We start from the raw sequence: 24,956 nt of genomic DNA, 5'->3' as shown, positions 1-24,956 counted from the left end.
AGCCAGTTCTCTAGTATTCTACTTTATCTCCTCTATTGATTTATCAGCTATATTTCTTTGTTTTAAATCTTTGGTGATTGCTCTAGGGTTTAAATATGCATCTTTAACTTATCACAGCCCAATTTTAAATAATAGCCTATAATTTCCTAATAATATAATGAGCTTAAGACACAATATCTGAAATGTCTGGGACTAGAATTCATTCAAATTTTGAATTTTTTCAAATTTTGGAATACTTGTGTTAAACAGATTGAGAATCCCTAATCCAAAAATCCAAAATCTGAAATGCTCCAATGATCATTTCCTTTGAGCATCGGGTAGGCACTCAATAAGTTTTGAATTTTGGACCATTCTGGATTCTGGGATTAGGAATATTCCACCTGTACTACAATTTATCCCTCCCATTCTTTGCACTATTGCCATATATTTTACTTCTACATATGTGATAACAAAATATTCATTTTTATTTTTCAGTGTTTTTTACTTAAGCAGTCAGTTATCTTTTTAAATATATAAACAACAGTCTTTTATGTTTACCAATCTATTTACAATTTCTGGGGCTCTTCATTCTTCTGAAGAGATCGAGTTTCCATCTAGCATCATTTTTCTTCTGCCTTAAGACTTTATTTAACATTTCTTGTAACAGGTCTGCTAGCAATGAATTCTCTCAGTGGATTTTTTTTTTCTGAAAATGTCATCATTTTAGATGTTTTTTCCTGGTTATAGAATTTAAGGTTTATAAGTCTTCATCTTTTGATACCGATCTCATTCCATTATCTTCTGGTTTGCATTTTTTCTGATGTGAAGTCAGTTCATTTTTGTTTTGCATTTTGTGATGTGCCTTTTTCTTCATTTACTTTTATGACTTTTCTCTTTATCACTGGTTTCAGAAATGATATGTTTTGGTATGGTTTTCTTTTCTATTTGAAGTTAAATGAACTTGGATTTTTATGTTTCTATTTTTCATCCAATGTGGAACAATTTTGGCCATATTTGTTCAAATATTTTTTCTGCCCTCACCCCTTCTGCAACTCCAATTCCATATTTGTTATGCCTCATAGTATCAGGACACTTAGGTGCTGGGTTTTTTTTTTGGGGGGGGTATGGAGGAAGGGGGAGGGTTCAGTTTTCTTACTCTCTAATTCAGTTTTTACTTTACTTTACTTACTCGTTTTTAGACTTGGGGACTGGCTAGTATGTCCAGGCTGGAATGCAGTGGCTATCCACACATGTGATCATAGCACACTACAGCCCCAAACTCCTGTACTTAAGCTATTCTTCCACTTCAGCCTCCTGAGTAGGTAGGACTATAGGCACGTGCCACTGTACCCAGCAGCGGTTCAGTTTTTCATACTTTCTTCAAGTCTATTGATCTTTTTAATTGGCAATGTTTATTGCATTGAGAAACCCATCCAGTGGATATTCCATTCAGATGTGGGAATTCCTAGAGCTAAAAAATATATTTTCTAAGACTCTCTTCATTGTTTTAATGTTTTACTTTATATCCTTGTATATGTGTACAATTAGATGTTTTAAAGTCTTTGCTGTTTACATTATTGCTGTCATTTCTTGCTCTGTTTCTACTGATTGTCTATTCTAGTGGTTTGGGGTTAATTTTCCTACTTTTTCATGTCTTATAATTCTTGGCTAGATGCTGATCACTATCAAGGTTTTGTAAAATGTTTAGATTTAGTTGTCTTCCCATCTGGCTCTTCGTGTCTATTCTCAAGTTGGTTAAAAACTATAAGGAAAAACTTTCTCCAAATCACAACGGCAAAATGTCCTGTTATTAAAAAATCTCTAAAAGTCTCTATTTTAATTTGAGGCTCTTTTCTTCATGACTGTTTTAATTTCTCTTTACTTTTTTAAGGGCAATTTGATTTGGGTAATATTCAAAGCATTGTAAAGTGTTTCCTCCATGATGCTGCATCTACCCTCTTGTTGACAAATTACATGAAAGGATTGTGACTGCTTCTTTTTTATTTCCTTTTACTCATTGTATTTGTCTGTTTTCATGCTGCTGATAAAGACATACCCAAGACTGGGAAGAAAAAGTGGTTTAATGGACTTACAGTGCTACATGGCTGGGGAGGCCTCACAATCAGCCAGAGGGCAAAGGGAGAGCTTGAGCTGGGAAACTCCTGTTTTTAAAAACCACCAGATCTCATGAGACTTATTCACTATCACGAGAACAGCACATGAAAGACCCGCCCCCATGATTCAATTACCTCTCATTGGGTCCCTCACACAACACGTTGGAATTCAAGATGAGATCTGAGTGGTGACACAGCCAAACCGTATTACTTTCATTCTAGTACTATACTGCAACTAAACCAGTGATTCAACTGCCAGCTCCAGTCATCCTTTTCTCAGTCCTAACATTCTGTGTGTTATAGAGGTAAAGAAATAATTACAGTTTGAGAAGTACTTTATAACAGAGATACGCAAATCATGCTAAATATCCACATTTAAAAACTATCCTACGCAAACCCATCAATTCAATAATTACAAGACATTTTAAAAGGTAGGAAAATGTGACCTAAAACCAAGAGAAAAGATAGTCATTAGAAACAGATCAAGATCTCCTAGGCTCAAGCAATCCTCTTGAATAGCTGGAACTACAGGCACGTACCACCATGCCTGGCTGATATTTTACTTTTACATTTTTTAGTAGAGAGGAGGCCTCATTATGTTGCCCAGGCTGGTCTTGAACTCCTTAGCTCAAGTGATCCTCTCACCTCAGTCTCCCAAAGTGTTGGGATTATAGACATGAGCCACCACACCTGAGCATCAATCTTTTAAAAAACCAGAAATCAGTAGTGTATTACTCAGAATAGTTTATTCCATGACTATGTATCTATTTAATTAACCCCCACTTTTGGATATTTAAACTGTTTTCCAATATCATGATTAAATAGTTCTTGATAATACATTTTGGAGAAATTTCTAGAAATGTAATCTCTGGGTCAAAGGGTACACACATACATATAGCTTTTGTTTGAGTTTCTTTCAGAAAGATAATACCAAGATGTTGGAATAGTACACTGTCTGGTTCCCTCTCCAAAGACCAACTCCTATAGGAAATATAAAGAAAAAAAGCCAAGAAATAAGAAAACCCGAAAACTCCCAGGGAAGAAAGTGGGGTGAAAAAGGACAATTTTGAACTGGTAAGTGTGCTGGCTGGTGGCTTGGGCCTTGGATCTGGGGCAGGAGGCAGTCCTTCAAATATGTGGGAGGATAAAACAGGAAATGAACTATTGGAGTTCTGCTTTTGACTATTCCATGACTTGAGTAAAAAACTTATAGTTCCCATATCTACAGGGACTCAGACTACAGTCCAAATGCCCTCAGAAGTAAACCATAATTATAAAAAGCTGAGGAAAACAGGTGGAGACCAACTAACCTTAGGTAGTAATTTCTCTGCCCTTTCCTACTAAACCGTAAAGCTGGTAAATTACAATAAATAGCTTTGGCTGCTGTTCTCCCTGGTGGGATCAGGGAGAAGCGGAGAGATGGTGAAGCAGAGATCTGAGGTGTCATTTTGTAGATTTGATAAACTGATTTCTCAAGTAGCCTGGGGCTTTTCTACCTACCTTCCATCCTTTGAGCTCACTGAAAATGCCAGACTGGATACTAGTCTCTTCCCACATGTGATGTCATAGTAGCCAATATCCCCAGAGGGAAATTACCTTACAGGTCAACATATCAAGACATTGAAGAAGCACAACTGTTTTCAAAGAAAAATAAAATATTGGCATACAGATTCTAAGAGAAGCAGAATTATTAGATCTGATGTCCCAAGAACTTAAAATAAGCCTAATAAACATACTAAAAGAGATAAGGGAAGATATTAGCGGCATATAATAAGAACAAGAGAACAAAGAAGCACGCAGAAATATTAGGTACAAAAATATAATACTTGAAGTATATAGACTGGATAAATAATAGAATTTAAATGAGGAGTAAATTAATGAATCCAAAGATCAGTTTGAGGAAATCTTCAAACCTAAGAACAAGGATATAGAAAATATAAAAGAAAGGCTAAGGGATTGACAGTGCTAACATCTGAATAACAGGAGACTCAGAAAGAAAAATAGGCTGGGTCTGGTGGCTCACACCTACAATCCCAGCACTGTGGGAAGCCAAGGCGGGAGGACCACTTGAGGTCAGGAGTTCAAGACCAGCCTGGCTAACACAGTGAAACCCCATCTCTATCAAAAAATACAAAAATTAGCTGGGCGTGGTGGCATGTGTCTGCAGTCCCAGCTACTCAGGAGGCTGAGGTGGGAGAATCGCTTGGGCCCAGGAGGAGGTTGAGCAGAGATTGTGTCACTGCATTCCAGCCCAGGTGACAGAGTCAGAAGGTCTCAAAAAAAAAAAAAAAATTAAGAAGGATGTATTTGAAGGAATGATGGAGTTGAACAGGCCAAAAACATCATGGATTTTATTTTTTTAAATTAATTAAAAAAATTTTTTTACAATGTGATTAGGGAATATCATGGATTTTCAAAGTATTGAAGGAAAAATATTAAAACCTAGATTTTTACATATGACAATGCAGTCATTCAACTATGAGGCTATGATGACATATATTTCCAAGCATACAAGACCTCAGAAGACAGTTTTTGATAAAATCCTTAAATAGAAACAAATATGGAAGATAATTAAAAGACGTGTGAAGTAATGCTGACAAAATGTCTTGGGAAAATGTGCTGTTTTTTTAAATAGCCAACAACTAAGAAAAGGAGAACATAGGGGCATAATGGTTTAGGATTTAAAGTAGATAGTAGCAAATGATGGGGTAGGAGAAGATGAAGAGACAAAGGGATGTCAGAATGGACAAGATTCTTTGTAGGAGAGATATATATACATCCAATTTTTTTTTTAGTAATAAAAGATTCAAAATAAATTCAGAAAACATTCAAAGTGTGGGAAAAACTTAAATATTGAAAATGGTGAAACACATTGTAATGTATAAACAATTATGATTATAATTACTATTTCATTTATTTTTGTTAGTGTGTCCATGAACTTCCTGCTTATGATCTTTACTCCTTTTTCTTTTTGTAAGGGGAAATACCCTTCATTTTTCTTCGATAATACATGGTCACTATATGGTTCAAACTCTAAGATAAGGGGAAAATCTCCTGGAGTTAACTACAATCAGATACATACTATATATCAAATTGATATATAGTATATATCAAATGTAGAGGACATCAGACCATATCATTGCTCATTTCTTCTGCAACACTTACTTTCCTGAACATGATGCTTTACTTATTCTTTTATCAAAATATTCATCTTGACACATATAACCAGAAGTTTTAAGAGCTATGAGGAAGTCAATTCAGGGCATTATTAACTGAAATTTCTAGTTATACAAAAGCAGGATACTGTCGTAGTGCAGGATTAATTTAGGTATGTGGCAGAGGGAGTTTAACTGAAGCAAGACCAGGCAGATCAGAGACCAGTGGTCAGAGTTAGGACAATCAATTCCCAGTCAGTCCAAAAGCGGGGTGCCCATTACATGGCTCAGTTGAATGTGGGCACTGAGATTTCCTGTGAATGTGAATGTGAATGTCAATGTGGGCTCAGTATTTCCTGACTCAAAGGAAACTCAGTCTGAGGTATACCTGAGGGTGAGAAGAATACCAGCTGCCATCAAAAGCCATTGGAAGGGGAGTGGAAGAAGCTGAGAAGGAAACCTGAATTGACCAAAAAGCATTAAAGATGTATATAATTGTCAAAGATATGTCCTCACCAAAATCCCCAGAACCAGATAGTTTTACATTTGAGTTAGCACACATTAAAAGAAACAGTAAATTCCTTTCTTAAAAGGAGCAAACATGCACATCTCATTTTAGAAGGCTAGTGTAATCTTAATTATAAAACCAAACGAGGAAAATAAGAAAATTACACTGCATTTAACTTAAAAATATAGATTCCAAAATCTCCAGTCAGATATTTGCTAACCAAACACAACAGTGTATTAAAGAATAATACATCATGATCAGGTAATACTTCATAATGCAAACTATGAATGCATGGATGGTTTAATATTAGAAATTCTATACATATAATACATAACATTAATATACCACAGGATGAATACCTTATAATTATTTTAACATACACATAATAAAAAGCATTGTTAAGGTTCAATAGCTATTTATAAGACTGCTTAGCAAACTAAAAATAGAAGAACCTTTCTTAATCTGGTAAATGTTATATATTAAAAAACATTTTGTAAGTATTAATTGAGAAACTTTAGGTTCACCTCCTTTATGATGAGACATGAGATGGCCAACATCACTACTACTCGTTAACATAGTTCCAGAGGAACTAACAAAAAAAGATATAGGAAAGAAGAAAGGAGTTTAAATATAAAGATGGGAAGGAAGGAAATAATATTATCATTAATTTCAAATGATTATAATAATCTATTTCAAAAAAAAGAACAATCTGTTAAGAATAAGAGGGTTTAGCAATATAGTTAGGACAAAGATAAACTTTTAAAAATATCAGTAGCACTCATGTACTCCAGCAATAAACATCAAGAAAATATTTTTAATGGGATATTTAAAATCTGAATGTCTACTTAAAGAACATCATGCATAAAATTTAAAAGTTGAAAGAATGGAAGCAGATATTTTATAATATCTAAACTGATAGGAAATTAATATCGAGCACATACAACAAATTCCTATAAAACAATTGAACCCAAATGAAAAAATATATAAAGAATATGAGAAGCAAGTTCAGAAGAGGGAAATCAAAAGGCCAACAGGTATATGATGAGATACTCAAACTCAATAGTGATTTTAAAAAACTCAAAACAATGATCTATAAAATTACACACATTAGACTGAAAACATGAGTAAGCTGGAAAACGTTAAGGGCTGGCATGGATGATGAGAAGGTTATTGCTGGAGTCTGTAAAGACCAAAGTATTTATGTGGGGACGCATCTGATAGGGATTGGTTAAATTAATCATAAACATATATTCTGTCACCCAGCAATTCTGCTCCTGGGTATATATTCTAAAGAAATCCTTGCAAAGTTCCACGATAGGACATGATGAACATGTGGTAAAAGGAAATTGAAAGCAATTTGGATGGCAAACACTGAGGAAAATGGGTAGTGAAAATATGGCTGCCATATACTGTGGATTACCATGTAGCAGTAAGCAGCAGTAAAAACATGGCAACATAAATAAAGTTTAAAACTTAAGGTTATATGAAATAAAATAGTAAGGATCACAATGAGATACACAGCACGAAATCACTTACACTTATTTAAATTTCATGTATATAAGTCAGGGTGAGGAGAGGTCAGAGGTAAAACAAATTGTACCATAAGATGCTAACTGTTGAAGCTGACATATAGACATGTGGCGGTTCATAATATTCTCTCTTTTCCTTTTCATTTATTTGAAATTTCTCATATAAAAATTTTAAAATGTATGCATGCAAAACAATACTCATTATGAAAATATAAACAAAATAGAACAGTACAATAGATATTATTTTAGAATATCATAATATTAGAATGATTTCCTATGGGTCAAGGGCAGGAGAATGAGACTGGAAAATTTATAAATAAATAAAACAAGAAGTGCTTTGCATGAACCAGTAATGACAGTGCCCCATGGACCTAAGAGTGTGATTAACTCTGCTTTCTCTTTGTGTAAAAGGTCTTTTAAAAAAAAGATGCCGGGCGAGGTGGCACATGCATGTAATCCCATCACTTTGGGAGGCCGAGGCAGGAAGATGGCTTGAGCCTAGGAGGTTGATGCTGCAGTGACCCATGATTATGCCACTGTATTCCAACCTGGGCAACAGAATAAGACCCTGCCTCAAAACAAACAAACAAACACACGACAACAACAACAAAAACCAGAAAGTGCCCGGCATGGTTAATGCACACCTGCAGTCCTAGCTGCTTGAGAGGCTGAGGTGGGAGGATTGCTGGAGCCCAGGAGCTCAAATCTAGTCTGAGCAACTTAAAGAGACTACATCTCTTAAAGTAAAAGATACATATATACATATATATATATATATATGTATAATTTTTTTTTACTAGAAGGATCTGATTTAGACTGTGGAGAAGAAGGAACCATAAAAATAGTTATCTAATCATTATAATTCAGAAAACAATTGAATAGCTCTTCCAAGTAACCAAGTCACCATATATAACTATGTAAATGAATTAGAAATAAGTAATATCACTTATGTTTTCAAGAGAAGTCATTTCTGACAATAATATTCATTATAGAAAACTGGCAAAAATCATTAAACAGTTAACCACAAATTAAGGAGAAAAAATAGACTCTAAATACTTGCACTCTAAGAGAATAAAGAAAAATAGAAAAAAGAAAAAACACTCCTGCACTAGGGGCTGTAAACTGTTTTACTTGGCTTAAGTAGTAGCAAAAGTAAACTTTTTTTCAAAGGAAAAATTTTATGCTGACATTTAAAAATAAGGATTTTTCAAATTTATTTCTGTTCTTTAAAAAAACTACTGAGAATTGATTTTACAGCATCTCATTTCCATTTAGCAAGGATCCTAGAACTGAATAGGAGCATCCCGTTTACAGGTCACATACTCTCCAGGCTTCCATTGTCCCCATTTGGCAAGGAACATTAAAATATTGTTTTTGGAGGTTTATTCCCCTTGTATCTCACTTGAAATTTTAACAAAATGTGCTCAGAAATTTACTTAGTCATGTTAAGTATGTAAGCAGTCATGGGAGGCATGAACAGAACGTGCTACGTGAAAGAATATGCTAGGTAAAGAGAAATTTTGGGGGAGCCATGATAAAATGAAAAGAGGTTTGTATTCAGGGGTTATAATGTTATGAGTATATGAAACTATGACAGAGTGTTTTGGAGTGGATAAAGAACAAGTTCTTAACTTGTTAAAGGGGCTGATTAATAAATACATGAAAACAGTGCAATGAATAATAGTTTTTCTGTTTAATTATTTTTTCAAATTAAATTCTGCTGAGTTGTATTCACAGGTTTGATAGAAGTTACTTTTTTTTTTTTTTTTGAGACAGAGTCTCGCTCTGTCACCCAGGCTGGAGTGCAGTGGTGCGATCTCGGCTCACTGCAAGCTCCGCCTCCCGGGTTCACGCCATTCTCCTGCCTCAGCCTCCCGAGTAGCTGGGACTACACGCGCCTGCCACCACGCCCGCCTAATTTTTTTGTATTTTCAGTAGAGACCGGGTTTCACCGTGTTCTCCAGGATGGTCTGGATCTCCTGACCTCGTGATCCGCCCGCCTCGGCCTCCCAAAGTGCTGGGATTACAGGCGTGAGCCACCGCGCCCGGCCAGAAGTTACTTTTTTATTCTTTATTCTTAACTGGTTTGCACTTGTGTATTACAATTTATTATTTTTTAATCAACCGCTTATTACAAATGAAATCTGATACTTTCTGTCAAGATGATATTATGGAATAAAAATTTGTGTCTGAATATGAATGAATGCAGTTGTGAGGTAACTTAGACAGGAGCAGTGATAAAAAGTAAACAAGTTTAACAAGTCGAATTATAATCTGACAACCCTAACCATTTACATGAAATTATATATGGGGCTATAGTTACTACTTACCTTTAGTGCTTATCTTCTAAAGATCTTGTCTGTAAACCATAAAGCCTTCAATGTCTACTTCCCACATGTAGAAACTGACATCTTCAATGTACATCTAAAAGAGAAGCATAAGAAAATATAATGAATTTGAGATTATAGATATTGCTTCATTTAGTTTAAATATAAAAAAATTGAAATTATTCTTCATGACTTTATATAATAAGCCTGGGCAAAGGGATGTATTATAGGACATATTTTATGTAAACAAACAGCAATAACATTAAGATTAACCGTTTAGAAGAATCAGAATATTTTGTGGAACGTAAGTTATGATCCATGTCACAGAGTTGAGTACTTTCTATAATACTAATTTGATCTGCCTACCTAGTTTCTATGCAAAATTTTTATACGATTTAAAATACATAAATTGTGGTGTCCTGCATGAACAGAGCCCCATTCTAAAAAATAGTTTCCCTGCTCAAAATTATTACAAAAATATTCTTAATTACACTTGAGTTGCTTATAAAAGCCAAAATCATAGAAATCAATTAGTTCAGTATTCTGTCCTCATGAAAAATTCAAAATTCTATTCCTCTTATTACTTAAATCTCCCCAGTCAGTACTTTACACCAACCTGCTAAACTTAGCATAAAAAAAAAGCCCTTTAAATAAAATTCCCTCTAATAGACAAATGTGATTATCCAGAGAGAGTGTTTTTTGCCTAAAGAACTTGATTGTGAATTCCTTGACAATGCAGTTAGGGAAACAGGATTTGGATTCTACAGTGCCATACTTAATATGTACTTTTTGTTTTTGTTTTGTTTTGAGACAGGGTCTCCCTGTGTTGCTCAGGCTGGTCTTGGGCTCCTGAGCTCAAGAGATCCTCCTTTCTCATCCTCCCAAGTAAGTGGTTTTGAGTACTGTAGATTCTCAAGCCAAACATAAATGATTTTTGGATTAGCAATTATCATTGCTCCTTTTGGTCATTAGTGCAGATGTCGGTTTTTCAGTTGCAGCTGTACAATCAAACACTTGAAACACTTTTAAAATATATTCACACTCAGCATATTCTTTACATATTATGGTTTAATTAGTATGAGGTAGGGCCAGGGCTCAGGTATTTTTAAAAAGCATGAAGGAAGGATATCTTTTTCTCCAGTTGAGAAACAATTTCACTGCAAATATTTAGCTTAGTTTCTACATATTAATAAGACATTAACTTCCAAAAATACTATTTACAGATGTCTATGAAAAACACTGAGTTATTTCTAATACAAATACTAAATGTCAAAATGATTTGAAAGCTTCCATGATACACACAAACATACCTCAATGACCATGTAATATCTTAGATACAAGGATGCAAGCATGATGCAATTAGTATCTGGCATGAATCTCAAACTGTAATGCACTTAAGGACCAAAGTAGCACTTTAAAATCTAGAACCCCAGGTGCATGCCCACAGTTCTGGTTCAGAACTAGGCTGAGGCAGATTCTCTATTCTTTACAGGCATCTTGATTATAATGTAGATCTACAGTCCGTGTAGAATTGTGATCTAAAGCACACATATGAACACTGACTATTACTAGACTCTCATTGTTAGCATTTATGTAAATACTTCTTGAGTTTTCTAAGATTATATTTCTAATCTTTAAAGATAATCCTGAGACCCACCAGCTTAGGAAGGAACTTTGAACATATAGTAAATAGGACTTCAGCAATAAATCAATATAGACATACTAAAATCATGTTTATGGATTATATCTTTTGTAAGCTTTGCTATCCTCTTAGGTAAACTGTGTAGGTAGACAATCAATAAAATACTGTGGCAAAAAAGAGGGAAATGTTATATTCCATAATGAAAATTTTACTGAAAACCTCACATATAACTAGAAACATGCCCTTGATGGCTCAGAATTAATTTTTTTTTTTTTTTTGTCCTTAAGTTAGTGGGGGTGGCAGGCTGGGGAGAAGCACTCCTAGCTTAATTTTCTGTTTAAATACAAAGTCAAAAATTTTATGAAGTCTTGAATCGTCTCTCTCTCTCTCATAACTACTAAAAATGACATGAAATAGGCTATTAATGTTTTAGTTTCGAAAATTGTTGCTGGGCGTAGTGGCTCAAGCCTGTAATCCCAGCACTTTGGGAGGCTGAGGCAGGTGGATCACCTGAGGTCAGGAGTTCGAGACCAGCCTGGCCAACATGGTGAAACCCTGTCTCTACTAAAAATACAAAAATTGGCTGGGTGTGGTGGTGTGCGCCTACAATCCCAGCTACTCGGGAGGCTGAGACAGGAGAATTGATCTCTTGAATCCAGGAGACAGAGGTTGCGGTGAGCTGAGATTATGCCACTGCAATCTAGCCTGGGCAACAGAGCAAGACTCTGTCTCAAAAAAAAAAAAAAAGCAAGAAAATTCTTATAAACAGGTCCCCAAATACTTTGCAATAAAAATATATTCATACACATATACCATTTAAGATTTTTTTCTGAAAAAAAAAAAAAAAAAACAAAACTCTAATAAACAGAGGTAATTATCTGAGTCTTTGTTATACATAACAAGGATGGAGACCTTAAAAACTACTAAACCAGAAAAGAAAACTATACTTTAGCTCTTATTTTCCTTACCTAGTTTGAAGTACTCTTAATAAAGTATTCTTTTTACATGCATGTAATGCTAAAGATCTCAGATTTTCTACAAATTCAAATCAATCCACAGTTTATCATTGCAGTTTATCTTTTTTAATAAGAACCAATAGCTCTGTAAATCACAAATAGTCTACATCACAAAAGAATTCAATCATATTAATCTTTAATGATTAAAAATACAAGTTTCCAGATAACAGGCATTGTTAAGTAGCACTAACATTTGTCATGTAAATTACTAAAACTTATTTCTTGCTTTTAAATATAGTAAATAATAGCTAACATTTACTGAGTTCTAAATTATAAGTAGTACAGTTAATTCTCACAACAATCCTAAGAAGTGCTTATGTTCTTAAAAAGTAGAAAATAAAGAAGTGCTATTATCATCTATATTTTACAGATAAAGAAAGTGAGGAACATAGATTACATAAGTTATCCAAGGTTCCATAGCTAATAACTGGAAGAACTGGATTTCAAACTCCAGCAGTCTACAATTAACTATGGTATTTTCTGAAGGCCCCATCCAGTAACCTAAAATCTCCAATAACTCTGGAAGCCTCAGAAATTAATATGAAGATATCTTTGGTCAGGTTTTCCATCTGCAAACAGAATGCCATGGTGTTCCACTTCCAACTTTTCTTATTCCTCACAAAAAAGATGATTACTAAGCCCCACTTAGCTGTACATACATTCTATTATTCCTGTGCAATCTAAATAATATAATAAGGTCTCTATGATACAAAGAGTTTTCTTAAAACCTTGGTCTTGCTTCTAAATGTAATATTCTATGTGCCTAATCACATCAAGATCCATTAAGTATGGTCAATACTGAGATATAAATTTGTGGTTTTAAAACATTTTCAATTCTCTTACAAAAAATTATACCTTCTTAAAATATGACTGCAATTTCAATGTTTTGTTGTATTTTCACAATAGCTATATATATTTATAAAATACGAAGTGAAGTTATGATTTATGAATACAATGCAAAATAACTAAATGAAGCCAGTAAACATGTCCACCTCAAATACTTAATATTCTTTGTGGTGAGAATATTTGAAATTTACTCTCTTAGCAATCTTGAATTTTACCATACTCTACTTTTTATCCATTCATCATCTTAGTTTGATTCTGTAACTTGGCTATTGTGAACAGCTCTGCAGAGAACATGGAAGTGCAGACATCTCTTAAAACAAACTAATTTAAAATGTTTTGGGTGAATATCCAGAAATGGGATTGCTGGATCATCAGATAATTCTATTTTTAGTTTATTGAGGAACCTTCACACAGTTTTCCACATGTGTACATTTCCACCAACAGTGTACAAAGTTTTCCTTTTCTTTACATCGTCATCAACATTTGTTATCTTTTGTATTTTTTTTTTTTGGTAATGGTCATTCTGAGAGGTGTGAAATTATATATCATTACAGATTTAATTTGTATTTCCTGAATGATTAGCAATGTTGAGAAGTTTTTCTTGTATCAGTTGGACTTTTGGATGCCTTTTTTTGAGAAATGTATATTCAGGTCCGTTTCCAATTTTTAATGTTTTTTTTTAAAATTTTCTTGCTATTCAGGTGTTTCGGCTTCTTATATATTTTGGATATTAACCCCTTATTCAATGTATGACTTGAAAATATTTTCTCCCAATCTGTAGGCTGTCTCTGTACATTGTTTCTTTTGCTGTACAGAAGCTTTTTCATTTGATATAATCCCCTTTATCTATTTTTGTTTTCGTTGCCTGCACTTTTGCGGTCAAATCCAAAAAATCAATACCCAGACCAATTTTGCAGTTTTCCCCCTAAGTTTTCTTCTAGGAGTTTTACAGTTTCTGGTCTTAACATTTAAGTCTTTAATCCATTTTGAGTTGATTTTTGTATATGGAGTGAAATAAGGGTCCAATTTTGTTCTTCTATATGTGGATATCCAGCTTTCCCCAACATCATTTATTAAAGAGACTATCCTTTGCCATTGTTTATTGTTGACATCTTTGTCATAAATCAATTGACCATACATGCATGGGCTCATTTCTAAGCTCTCTATTCCAGTCCACTGGGGATGTGTTCATTTTTATTTTAATTTTTTTTGCTAGCACTACAGTATTTTTAATTACTATAGGTTTGTAGTACAATTTGAATTCAGGTAGTGTGATGCCTCCAGCTTTGATTTTTTTGCTCATGATTGCTTTGGCTATGCAAGTTTTTGTTGTGGTTCCATATAAATTTTAGGATTTCTTAATCTATTTCTATGAAAAATGATGTTGGAATTTTGATATGGATTGTATTGAATCTGTAGATAATTTTGGGTAATATGAGCATTTTAAGAATATTAGTTTCTTCAATGCATAAACATGGGATATCTTTCCATTTATTTGTGTCTTCTTCAATTTCTTTCATCAATGTTTTAGTTTTCAGTGAACCTGTGTAGTTAGATTTATTTATTTATTTATGAGACAGAGTCTTGCTTTGTCACCTAAGCTGGAGTGCAGGAGCAGGATCATAGCTCACTGTAGCCTCTTTACTGCTGGGCACAAGCAAATCTCCCATTATGGGATCCTTGGGGTGTCACTTTGCCAGCCAGAAACCTCTGTGGCTAGTGGCGCCTTTGCCTGAGTTTTGCTAGGGTCCACTGGGCTCATTCTGTCCACTTGAGCACGCAGACTGAGTTCAGCTCATGATACTGGCCCAGATCCACACTTGCCAAGGGTGAGCCTGGCAAGGAGTGGCAACGGGTGTGTGAGCAAGCGTGGGGTCCGACCACTGCGCAGAGCCAGGCGTGCTGACTGCAGCGGGGTGGGCTGCCCCAGGCGCTGGCAAAGGCACCAGCTACGTGCAAGGCTATGGCTGGACCAGGCATACCGCAAGCAATTTCCACCGGAGACACCTGGGAACACAGTGGCTCGTGGAAGCTTGGAGATGCCAGGATACACAGAGCCACAAAGAGGGTGTCACAGCACTGGCTCAAGGAGCCCCCTGGTTTGGGCTCCCAGAAGGGTTACAGCTCGTCTTTCTTTCTAGTCGCCCGCATTGTGGTGAGTGGGGGGCGTGTTTTAGCCCTGTTTGTTACTGCTCTTTCAGTGGTGCCATTCGGCGGGTCCCAAGTTCTTGTCTCACCATCCAGCAAGAATGAGGTACGCGAACAACTGGAGGGTGAGCAGGCAGAGAGGAGCTTCACTGAGCAACAGAGCAGCTCTCAGGAGATCTGAAGTGGGTAGCTCTTTTCCGCAGGCAGGTCGTCCTGATGAGTGTCCAGCTCTCAGTGGCGAGGAGACCCATGGTGGGTGGCTGATTTCTGCAGGCTGGTAATTAAGAGCTGAGGAGACCTGAAATGGGTAGCTCCTTCCCGCACCTGGTAGTCCCAACGGTCTGTATGAGTCTGACTGAGTCCAGAGTTTTTATGGGCTTCAGAAGGGAGGAAGTACATGGTGACTGGTCCATGGGCAGCCATGGCGGGTCTGGAAAAAGCATCATAAGTTTTCACTCTGACTGGCAGACTCCACCTGGAACTAACAGCCTAGCACCCACGCTTCAGGCTGTCCTTAGTCTGAAGGTGGGGCTTCACCAGGGACCTGCCCCTTTCCACCCAGGAGCCTGTCTGTCTCCTGCTGCCATCAATCATGTCAACCAGGGCAGCCAGGCTATTCCTGTGGAGGGGAATAGCCAACAGGCCTGCCCCAGCCACCCTCTGCCTTCCCCAACCCCAGGCCTCCCTCCCAAAGTTTCAGAGGGGGCTGAGGTGGCAGTGGGAGCTGGCATGTCTGCACAGCCCCGAGCATGCACACACTTGACTGGTCACAAGAGTGCCTCAGCTCGCCTTCAACCTTGCTCTGAAATGGGAGCAGGCACCGGGAGCAAGGAGAGGCCAGGCAGCAGGAGCAGGTGTCTTGGAGCCTGCAGGGGCAGGGTGGGCTTCCCAGGCTTCTGATAGCGCAGGGATGCCAGGGTCTACAGCCACTGCTGGGTGGCTGCAGGTGCTGTTCCTGGTTCCTGCAGGCTCCTCAGAGCACCCAGCTTTGGCTGCACCTCCCCCCCTGCAGCTGGATTCTTTGCAGGGGCAGTTCCAGACAGGCCATTGTGGACATCACTCACACCTCAGCCTCCTGAGTAGCTGCGACTTACAGGCACATGCCACTGCACCTGGCTAACTTTCAAAATTCTTTGTAGAGATGGGGTCTTGCTATGCTGTCCAGGCTGGTCATGAACTCCTGGTGTCAAGTGATCCTCCCACTTCAGCCTCCCAAAGTGCTCAGTTTATAGGTATGAGTCACAGTGCCCAGGCAAATTTATTCTTAAATTTGTTTGTAGCGATTGTAAATGGGATTATTTTCTTGATTCTTGGACAGTTCACTTAAGTGTATAGAAACGCTTCTGATTTTTGTATGTTGATTTTTTGTATCCTGCAACTTTACTGTACTTGTTTATTCTAATAGTTTTTTGGTAGAATCTGTAGGGTTTTTTATACATAAGATCATGTTATCAACAAACAGCAATAGTTTTACTACTTCTTTTCCTATCTGGATGCTTTTTCTTTCTTTCTCTTGCCTAACTGTGCTGGCTAGGACTTCCAGTACTATAATGAGAAAGAGAGGTAACAGTGGGTATGTTTGTCTTTTTCTGGTCCTTAGAGGGAAAGTTTTCAGCTTTTCCCATTCAGTATGATGTTAGCTGAATGTCATACATAGTCTTTATTGTGTTGAGTTCCTTCTATACCTAATTTGGTGACAGTTTTTTAACATGAAAGGATGTTGAATTTTGTCAAGTATTTTTTCTTCATCCGTATCAGATGATCATACGTCCTTCACTCTGTTAAGGCAATGTATCACATTTATTGATTTCTGTATTTTGAACTGTCCTTGCATCCCAGGGATAAATAACACTGGATCATGGTGGATGATATTTTTAATGCGTTGTTGCATTTGGTTTGCTAGTATTTTGTTGAGGATATTTGCATAATATATACATAAGGATACTGGCCTGTAATTTTCTTTTTTTAAATGTCCTTGTCTGGCTTTGGTATCAGAGTAATGCTAGCCTCATAAAAAGAGTTTGAAAGTATTATCTGCTCTTTGATTTTTTGGAAGAGTTTGAGAAGGACTGGTATTAGTTCTGCTTTAAATGTTTGACAGAATTTTGCCATAAGCCATCAGGTCCTGGGCTTTTCTTTGATGAGAGATTTTGATTACTAATTCAATCTCCTTACTTGTCATTGGTATTTTTAGATTTTCTGTTTCTTCATATTCAGTCTTCATAGGCTGCATATGTCTAGGCATTTATCCACTTCTAGGTAATCTAATTGGTTGGTGTAGAATTGTTCATAGTGGTCTCTTATGATCCATTCTGTTTCTGTAGAATCAGTTGTAATGTCTTCTCTTTCATTTCATTCCAATAAAATTTCATTCTAGTTTTAAAATAAGGCAATTCTTAGAGAAAGAAAATACGCTTTCTACTTCCCTGAGCTATTGGATTATATCAAATCATAAACTTTTAACAGTGATTGTTTTCATAGTATTAGTATTATGCAACTTTCTCGTAGCCTTCAAGATCCCAGTCATTCTGATCTGACAGGTGACTTTTAAAAAAATTCTAATTCACAAATATCATACATAGTTGAACAGAAACCAATCATAGCAAGAAGTTATAAAATAAAATAAAACCGCAAAGAATCCTTTATTTCAACAGAAATCAAACAGTCAATGAATTAAAAATGTTTTTAGCTTATATTTGCTGTTTAAAAGATTCCAAATTTCTTCAGTATAACCATAGCTCTAATCATGCAATCCACAGATTTGTTTTATCAACTGTTTTTATCACAGAGAATAATTTTAGCCTGAGCATACTTCAGCCATTACTTAGTACTAATTCAGACTATTAGTAGGTTTATTCCAGATTACTCTCTTAGTGGGCCTTAAATTACTTTTAAAATGATTTTAATGCAACTATTATCCTTTTGTCGCAAAGAAAAGAAGAATCCCGGGCCGGGCGCGGTGGCTCACGCCTGTAATCCCAGCACTTTGGGAAGCCGAGACGGGCAGATCACGAGGTCAGGAGATCGAGACCATCCTGGCTAAAACGGTGAAACCCCGTCTCTACTAAAAATACAAAAAATTAGCCAGGTGTGTTGGTGGGCGCCTGTAGTCCCAGCTACTCAGGAGGCTGAGGCGGGAGAATGGCGTGAACCCGGGAGGCGGAGCTTGCAGTGAGCCGAGATCGCGCCACTGCACTCCAGCCTGGGCTACAGAGCGAGACTCCGTCTCAAAAAAAAAAAAAAAGAAGAATCCCTTATTGGGTATGACCAGGTCACTTTCAGGAACAAAGAACCAAAGGAAATTCTAAATCCTGTCCACCGAATTAAGCTTTGTGTTTACCCCTCTTGCAACTTGCCCAGACAATATGGCTTCAGTAGGATGTGAGCTCACTGAAAAAAAGTACAAAGAATCTAAAGATCTCTGTGAAAGTTCGTAATAACCAGGCTATTCAGAGTATTAACAGTAAGTGAAATATTTTCATTAGAGATTAAAAAAGAAGCACTCTTTTTTTCCTCACAAGCATTTTCTAAAAATGTCTATCAGATCTGCTAAGGGTATCTCTCCAGCTGGAATAAATAAGCAATCTGGTTCTGAGAGCCCACCTTTATTATATCCATTACTTGGGGAAGACCAGTGAGTGATTTTTGTGTAACTTGTATGCAAACACCTTGAGAGATTTTTCTGAGAGGAAGAAGTATAATATTTTATCAAATATAGTTCCAAGAACATGTACCTTATCAATGTATTGGGCTTGTTGACGTTAATGATCTAATAAGGCTGGGACTCAGTGAATGAGCTGGCAGCTCATCCATTACTCTTAATTCTATATAGTTTCTCCCTGACTTCAAAAATAGAGTTCTTGAAAATCTCTGGATCAAGAATTCAAGGTTGAGAAAATTAATATATTGTGAAGAAAAACAGAATTAGGTGATTAAGATCAAGTGAACATGAAAGTCTATGTCAATAGGCCTACAGTCACTAAAACAAAATTTTTAGAAGGATAGCAAACTAAAGATATGATCAATGACAATTCATATATTTTAACTTTAGGGGTAATTTCCATTTATTTTTCCATTCTTGCTAGTACCTTTCAAGAACTTCCTCTGCGCAGTGTTATAGAAATGCTTATGAAGCTACTTTACTTTTGGAATATATATATATATATTATACGTATATATATCCTATATATACACGTGTATATATATGTATATATATCCTATATATATATTTGGAATATAATTTTACTGTCTGCTTCCATCCAAATATTGGCACCTTTAGAAGTTTATGACTAGTATGTTTATGCTATCTTCTCTTTATATCTTCTCAGGTTCTGTTTCTTGCTGCACTGAGTCCTTAGAGATATCTCTGACACACTTCTTTTTTATTTTTATTTTTTAATTTGAGACAGGGTCTCGCTCTGGCACCCAGGCTGGAGTGTAATAGCGCAATCATGGCTCACCACAGCCTTGACCTCTTGGGCTCAAATGATCTTCCATCTAAGCCTCCCAAGTAGCTTGGACTCCAGGTGTGTACCACCATGTCCAGCTATTACACATCTCTAGTAGTATATCCCTCCTCACTGGTTCCAATGGAGTGCAGTTTGAAATCCCAGGTTTACTTTCCCACTTTATCATTTTCATGACTTTCTTAAAAAATCACTACCACTGACATCATCTTCATTTACTTTTCTCAAATATCATATTCCTCTTTTTCTCATTATGACTACCAACGGGAATTGCCTACATTTCCAGAATGCCAGAAATTATTTTTCAGTGCTAGAAAGTTCTATAGTGGAGAAAAAAGAAGGGAAGGGAAGAAATGCAACAGTGACAACTACTGCTGATTTCACTGTTCAGGTTCATCCTAAAAATATGGATGAAATTACTGGATAAGAGACAGGGCTATTGAAGAAGGAATTTAACCAGAGGTTATATTTAAATTCCTTCTGAATCATGGTAGCCTTGAAGGTCTCTTCCAACTCCATGGTTTGATGAATGGATAATTCATCAAATTAGATGAATAGAACTAGAACTTGTAGGAGCAAACAAGAAAAAAATACTTTCACAAATTAAACACCAAAGTTGTACTGCCCCCTTTCGGATTCAGCCAAAAGAAACCAATAAGTACTTAACAGGGTATCATGATTTTTTTAAAAGGTCTAAAGCAATATGGTAAAATATAGGCATTAGTTTTACCAGTCAGCAGTCTATTACTTAACATATTTAACTAGCCCCAAAGTGAAAACAAACAAAATATAATAAAGTGGTGGTGGGCCACCATTACAAACAAAATAAACCAAGCAAACAAACAAATCACCAAATAAAAAATAGCAAAAGATGTGGGATTTGGCTCAAAAAAAAAATGATGTTCCTGTTGATGATAAAGTAGAAAATGGGTCCCTGATTCTGAAGTGGGAAGAGGACAGAGGGATGAGCTGTTGTCTTTATCAACAAAAATTAGGAGATCCTAAAGGACATCACATATTTTCCAGTATTTTAATGGAGCAATGATAACATTTTTGGGTACTGGACATACAAGACACTACCATTCCAAGAAAAACACTATTATAAAGATAAATTTCATTAAGCTATCATAAATCTACTTCAATGTTTTTAAAAAAATCTAGAATGCAGACCACAATCCTTTATTTACATGGTAGTAGCAAAGAAATGAATAGGTCTAACAGTGACTCCACTGTGTTCAACAGAACAAATCACTAGGTTGTTGTAGGAGCTAAAGCAGAAAAAACTGAATCAGAACTTACAGTCTTCTTAGAAGACATTCTCTGTATAAAAACAGAAGGAAATCATGTAAGTTTAAACAACAAGATATGGTAGACTAATGAATCAGTATTTGATAATTAAGGCTAATTTGAAGGGAACTAGAGGGAAGATATATTTGAATTAATTTATAGAAAAAGATTTTTAATAAATACCATTTTAATCGGCATAAAGACTAAAAATTCTTTTCCTGTAGATATGTTTTAAAGGAGCAGCTTCAAAATGCAGCTATAGAGGATTAAAATTAGCATATAAACTGCTTATATGCAAAGATCAAATTTGTTATAAGACTTTATATAAACAAGCTCTGTCCAGTATTTATGACATTAACAATGTAAAGCATAATCTTTTAGATGATGCATACTTCAGCCTATGTGACTTTAAAAATTATCAAAAAAACAGAAACAAAACCCCCAATTAAAGAATCCTCATTAATAAATCCTCAAGGGAAAACACTTCAGCCAGCATAATTGACAAAAAAAAATGCAATTAGTAGTTACATATTAGGAACATATTAAGAAGTTATAAAAGAAAGAAATACAGAAGAAAACAAAACAAAATGAAAATTTCTGACATAACCACAACAAATTCCAATAGGCACAAATAATTCCAACAATTTCCAGTAGGCACACACACACACAGAAAACATAGCAGGGAGAGGTGTTAGAACTCTGTGCAAGGAGGTGGAGAAGTACCCTCATGTGAAAATACTTAAAGAATTAAATGAGAGGCAGAGAAAACGCAAATACACAGAAGAACAGCAGTATCCTATCATCCTCAGTGATGTAGGAAAAGGAGGTTAGTTAATGTGACTAGAGCATCAAAACAGCCAGCACTTGGGAGAAACACTAGGCTCTGAGTTTCTGCAGATTTTTGGTGCAGGCACTCATAACAGTAAAAGAAACCATTTTATGTAAGGAATTCTGTAAGCCAGCAGTAATGCCTGATTTTTATCATGTCTAGAAACAGCTATCTTTTACCAGATGAGAATAATATTTCAAATCCTACCCAGAGCAGCACAATATTATGCCAATCTGACAAATAATGAAGAGTTTAGATAGGGAAAATAACACACTGACATGAAAATAAAACCCTCATAAGCAAAAAAAGATGTCTGGATTACATAAATTATGTACAGGAGTAAATAAAGATGGGGCCATTACTGACTTTGCAATAACTCGCAAATCAAAAAATAAAACCTGAATGAGCAAGTGCAACCATAAAGAGCTTCTGAGTCATTCTTGTTTATTAGATTTTTTTCTTACATTTAGAGAATTGTCCTGTCAAGTTTTTTAAGATGTACAAAAAATAAATGGAATATAATTTTAGATTTCACAGGTGACAATACAAAAGCCATAAAATAAAATGTGAAGTATGTTAAATATTTCCAGAAACTTGCTGAATCTTCTCTGTTTATAATGAACTGAAATCACTATGCAGAAAAATAACTATTCAAATGTTTAAACCAAAATATTATCAGACAATTTGCTCCATATGAGTGATTTAAGGCTTAACACTGCCTCTCACACATAGTCTCAAATACTACTTAAAACTAATCAAATATTAAATGTTCCCTATGTTGCTGGACTTCATAATGCTATGATTTTCTCATGATTTTATAGCACTGAGAATAGAGCTGTAGATATTGTTGCAGATATAGACATAGATATTTATAATAAAATATGCCCTATATAAAAATATGTTACATAAAAACTTAAATTGGCACAGAAGACTGCAAATCAATACATGTAAATTAATCTTAGTACGATGGGTTCACTTTCCAGAAAAATCAAATATAAAATATATAAAAAACCTGTTCATTGGCTAGTTGCAACAGAGAACAACTAACCATTAGTAACTGAAACAAAAATTAAATATTCACTTCAGAAACAGAGAAAATAATAAAAAGATTACCTCAAAGTACTCAATATTTTTGGCAATATATGCTTCTATATTGGGTTAAATTGGAGAAATTGTCCTTTTTATTGGTAAAAAGGTCAAATATTGGTAATTTCATGTGGTTCAGGCTAAAAGCATTAGAGTTAACATATTTAATTCATTTCATTCTATGTAATATTACAATCTAAATGAAGAAAAATATATTCACTGTCTAACATCTGTAATTCAAATAATTTTTCTACCACATAAAAAAGATAAAAGAGGAACAAATACAATCAGTGATCTGTGTTGCTTCCAAACTACGAAATAAAGAGATTGGATCTTTTAGCAAATTTGAGCACATAATATGTAGATTGTTAGGTAAAAATGATCGTTGTTTTATTCTTCTTTGATGATAAAGAATATGTAACAAGAGGAAAGTTATAACTGAGAACAAATTCACATTTGGAAAACAAGTAAACAATAAACTCCTTCATGATATTTATAATAGATTGAGAAATATTTTGGACAGAATACATTAACATGTAAGCTTCTTCCTCTAAATTACCACAAGTTCATAAAGTTTTTAAAAAATGGCTGAAAATAATAAAGGCAAGAAGGCCCTCACTACATGTTGGCTGCTCAGTCTTGGACTTCCTAGCCTTCAGAACTGTAAGAAATAATTATCTTTTCTTATCATTTACCCAGTCTCAGGTATTCTTGTTATGGCAACAGGAAATGAACTGAAACAATCAGTGATTAATCAATCAATGTAAGTGAAACAGGACCAAATATTTATGTACTTATAGTTTAGCAAGAATTACAAGGAAGAAATTCTCAATTATGCCTGGTCCTAAAAACGTCTTGTAGAAAAAAACATGAAAACAAAAATTAATATGGTCTTTAAATTTTTTCTTATACTTAATTATAACACTAGTTATATCAAAATTTTTATATGGCTAATGTTTGGTCAGAAAGAACAGTGTGGCTGTACTAGTTGCTAAAATACTAAATAATATAATACTTAAATACTGGTTGGAAAATGGGCACTGCTCCAAGCTCTCCAAATGTCCCCTTCTCTATGGACCCTACCCCCACCAAGACACCTCCATATACCCTAAGGTTAACACCTGGTGCAACAGGGATCCTCTAGTATTCTGGCATCCACTATAATGCCAGAATGGTTGGTGCCTGTAGCATAACAGTTGTTACATGTATCAAACCTCTCCCCTGTTAATAACAGAAGATAGTAGCAGAAGCTTTGAGCTTGGAGTTATAGAGGCTACATTACAACAGCTACTATCTGCATAAATCACTGGACCCTTCTAAAGTTCCAACTTCCTCCTTTTAAATGAAGTTCTTACTAGCTACCTAGTAGGACTGTTTGTGGATTACATGCAATGACATGAAAGTGCTGATTAGCACACAGTAGGCATATCATTCACTTTGCCTTACTAGAAAAATAGTAAACACTACATGAAAAAATTAGTAAAAGATGTAGTATTTTACAAACAAGTTGTGTTTCAAACACTCATTTTTGAAGTCAGTAGTCTGGTAATTAGAATGCATTTTCCCCATACTAATCATTATATAAAAGTGGTTACATATGTCAACCACTTTTTATCTCAGTTTTTATCTCAACTCAACTTTATAAAGTCTAATTTTACCCATAATACATTGTTTTCTACATGAAAAAAATGAACATTTATTGAACATTCATACATACCAAGCGCTATTCTAAATACTGTACATTTAAGTTATTTAATTCTCGGCTGGGCATGGTGGCTCACGCCTGTAAATCCCAGCACTTTGGGAGGCTGAGGCAGACAGATCACCTGAGCTTGGGAGTTCCAGACCAGCCTGACCAACATGGAGAAACCCCATCTGTACTACAAATACAAAATTAGCCAGGCGTGGTGTCACATGCCTGTAATCCCAGCTACTTGCTAGGCTGAGGTAGGATTGTCGCTTGAACCTGGGAGGTTGCAGTGAGCCAAGATCACGCCATTGAACTCCAGCCTGGGCAACAAGAG

At 35.7% G+C, this 24,956-nt stretch overlaps 1 protein-coding gene across 26 annotated transcripts in view; it reads right to left on the bottom strand.

Annotated features, from left to right (window-relative positions):
* MBD5 (methyl-CpG binding domain protein 5) overlaps positions 1–24,956 on the bottom strand; it is a 496,045-nt gene that overhangs the window by 328,563 nt on the left and 142,526 nt on the right. For all 26 annotated transcript variants that reach the window (XM_047445056.1, XM_011511472.3, XM_047445068.1 and 23 more), the window contains one exon: positions 9,616–9,709. The gene's annotated coding sequence lies outside the window, so the exon portion shown is untranslated. The remainder of the gene's footprint in view (positions 1–9,615; positions 9,710–24,956) is intronic.

Source organism: Homo sapiens, chromosome 2 (genome assembly GCF_000001405.40).
Source record: "Homo sapiens chromosome 2, GRCh38.p14 Primary Assembly".
Taxonomy (NCBI): Eukaryota; Metazoa; Chordata; class Mammalia; order Primates; family Hominidae; genus Homo; species Homo sapiens.
This window is presented reverse-complemented; position numbering and strand designations above follow the sequence as displayed.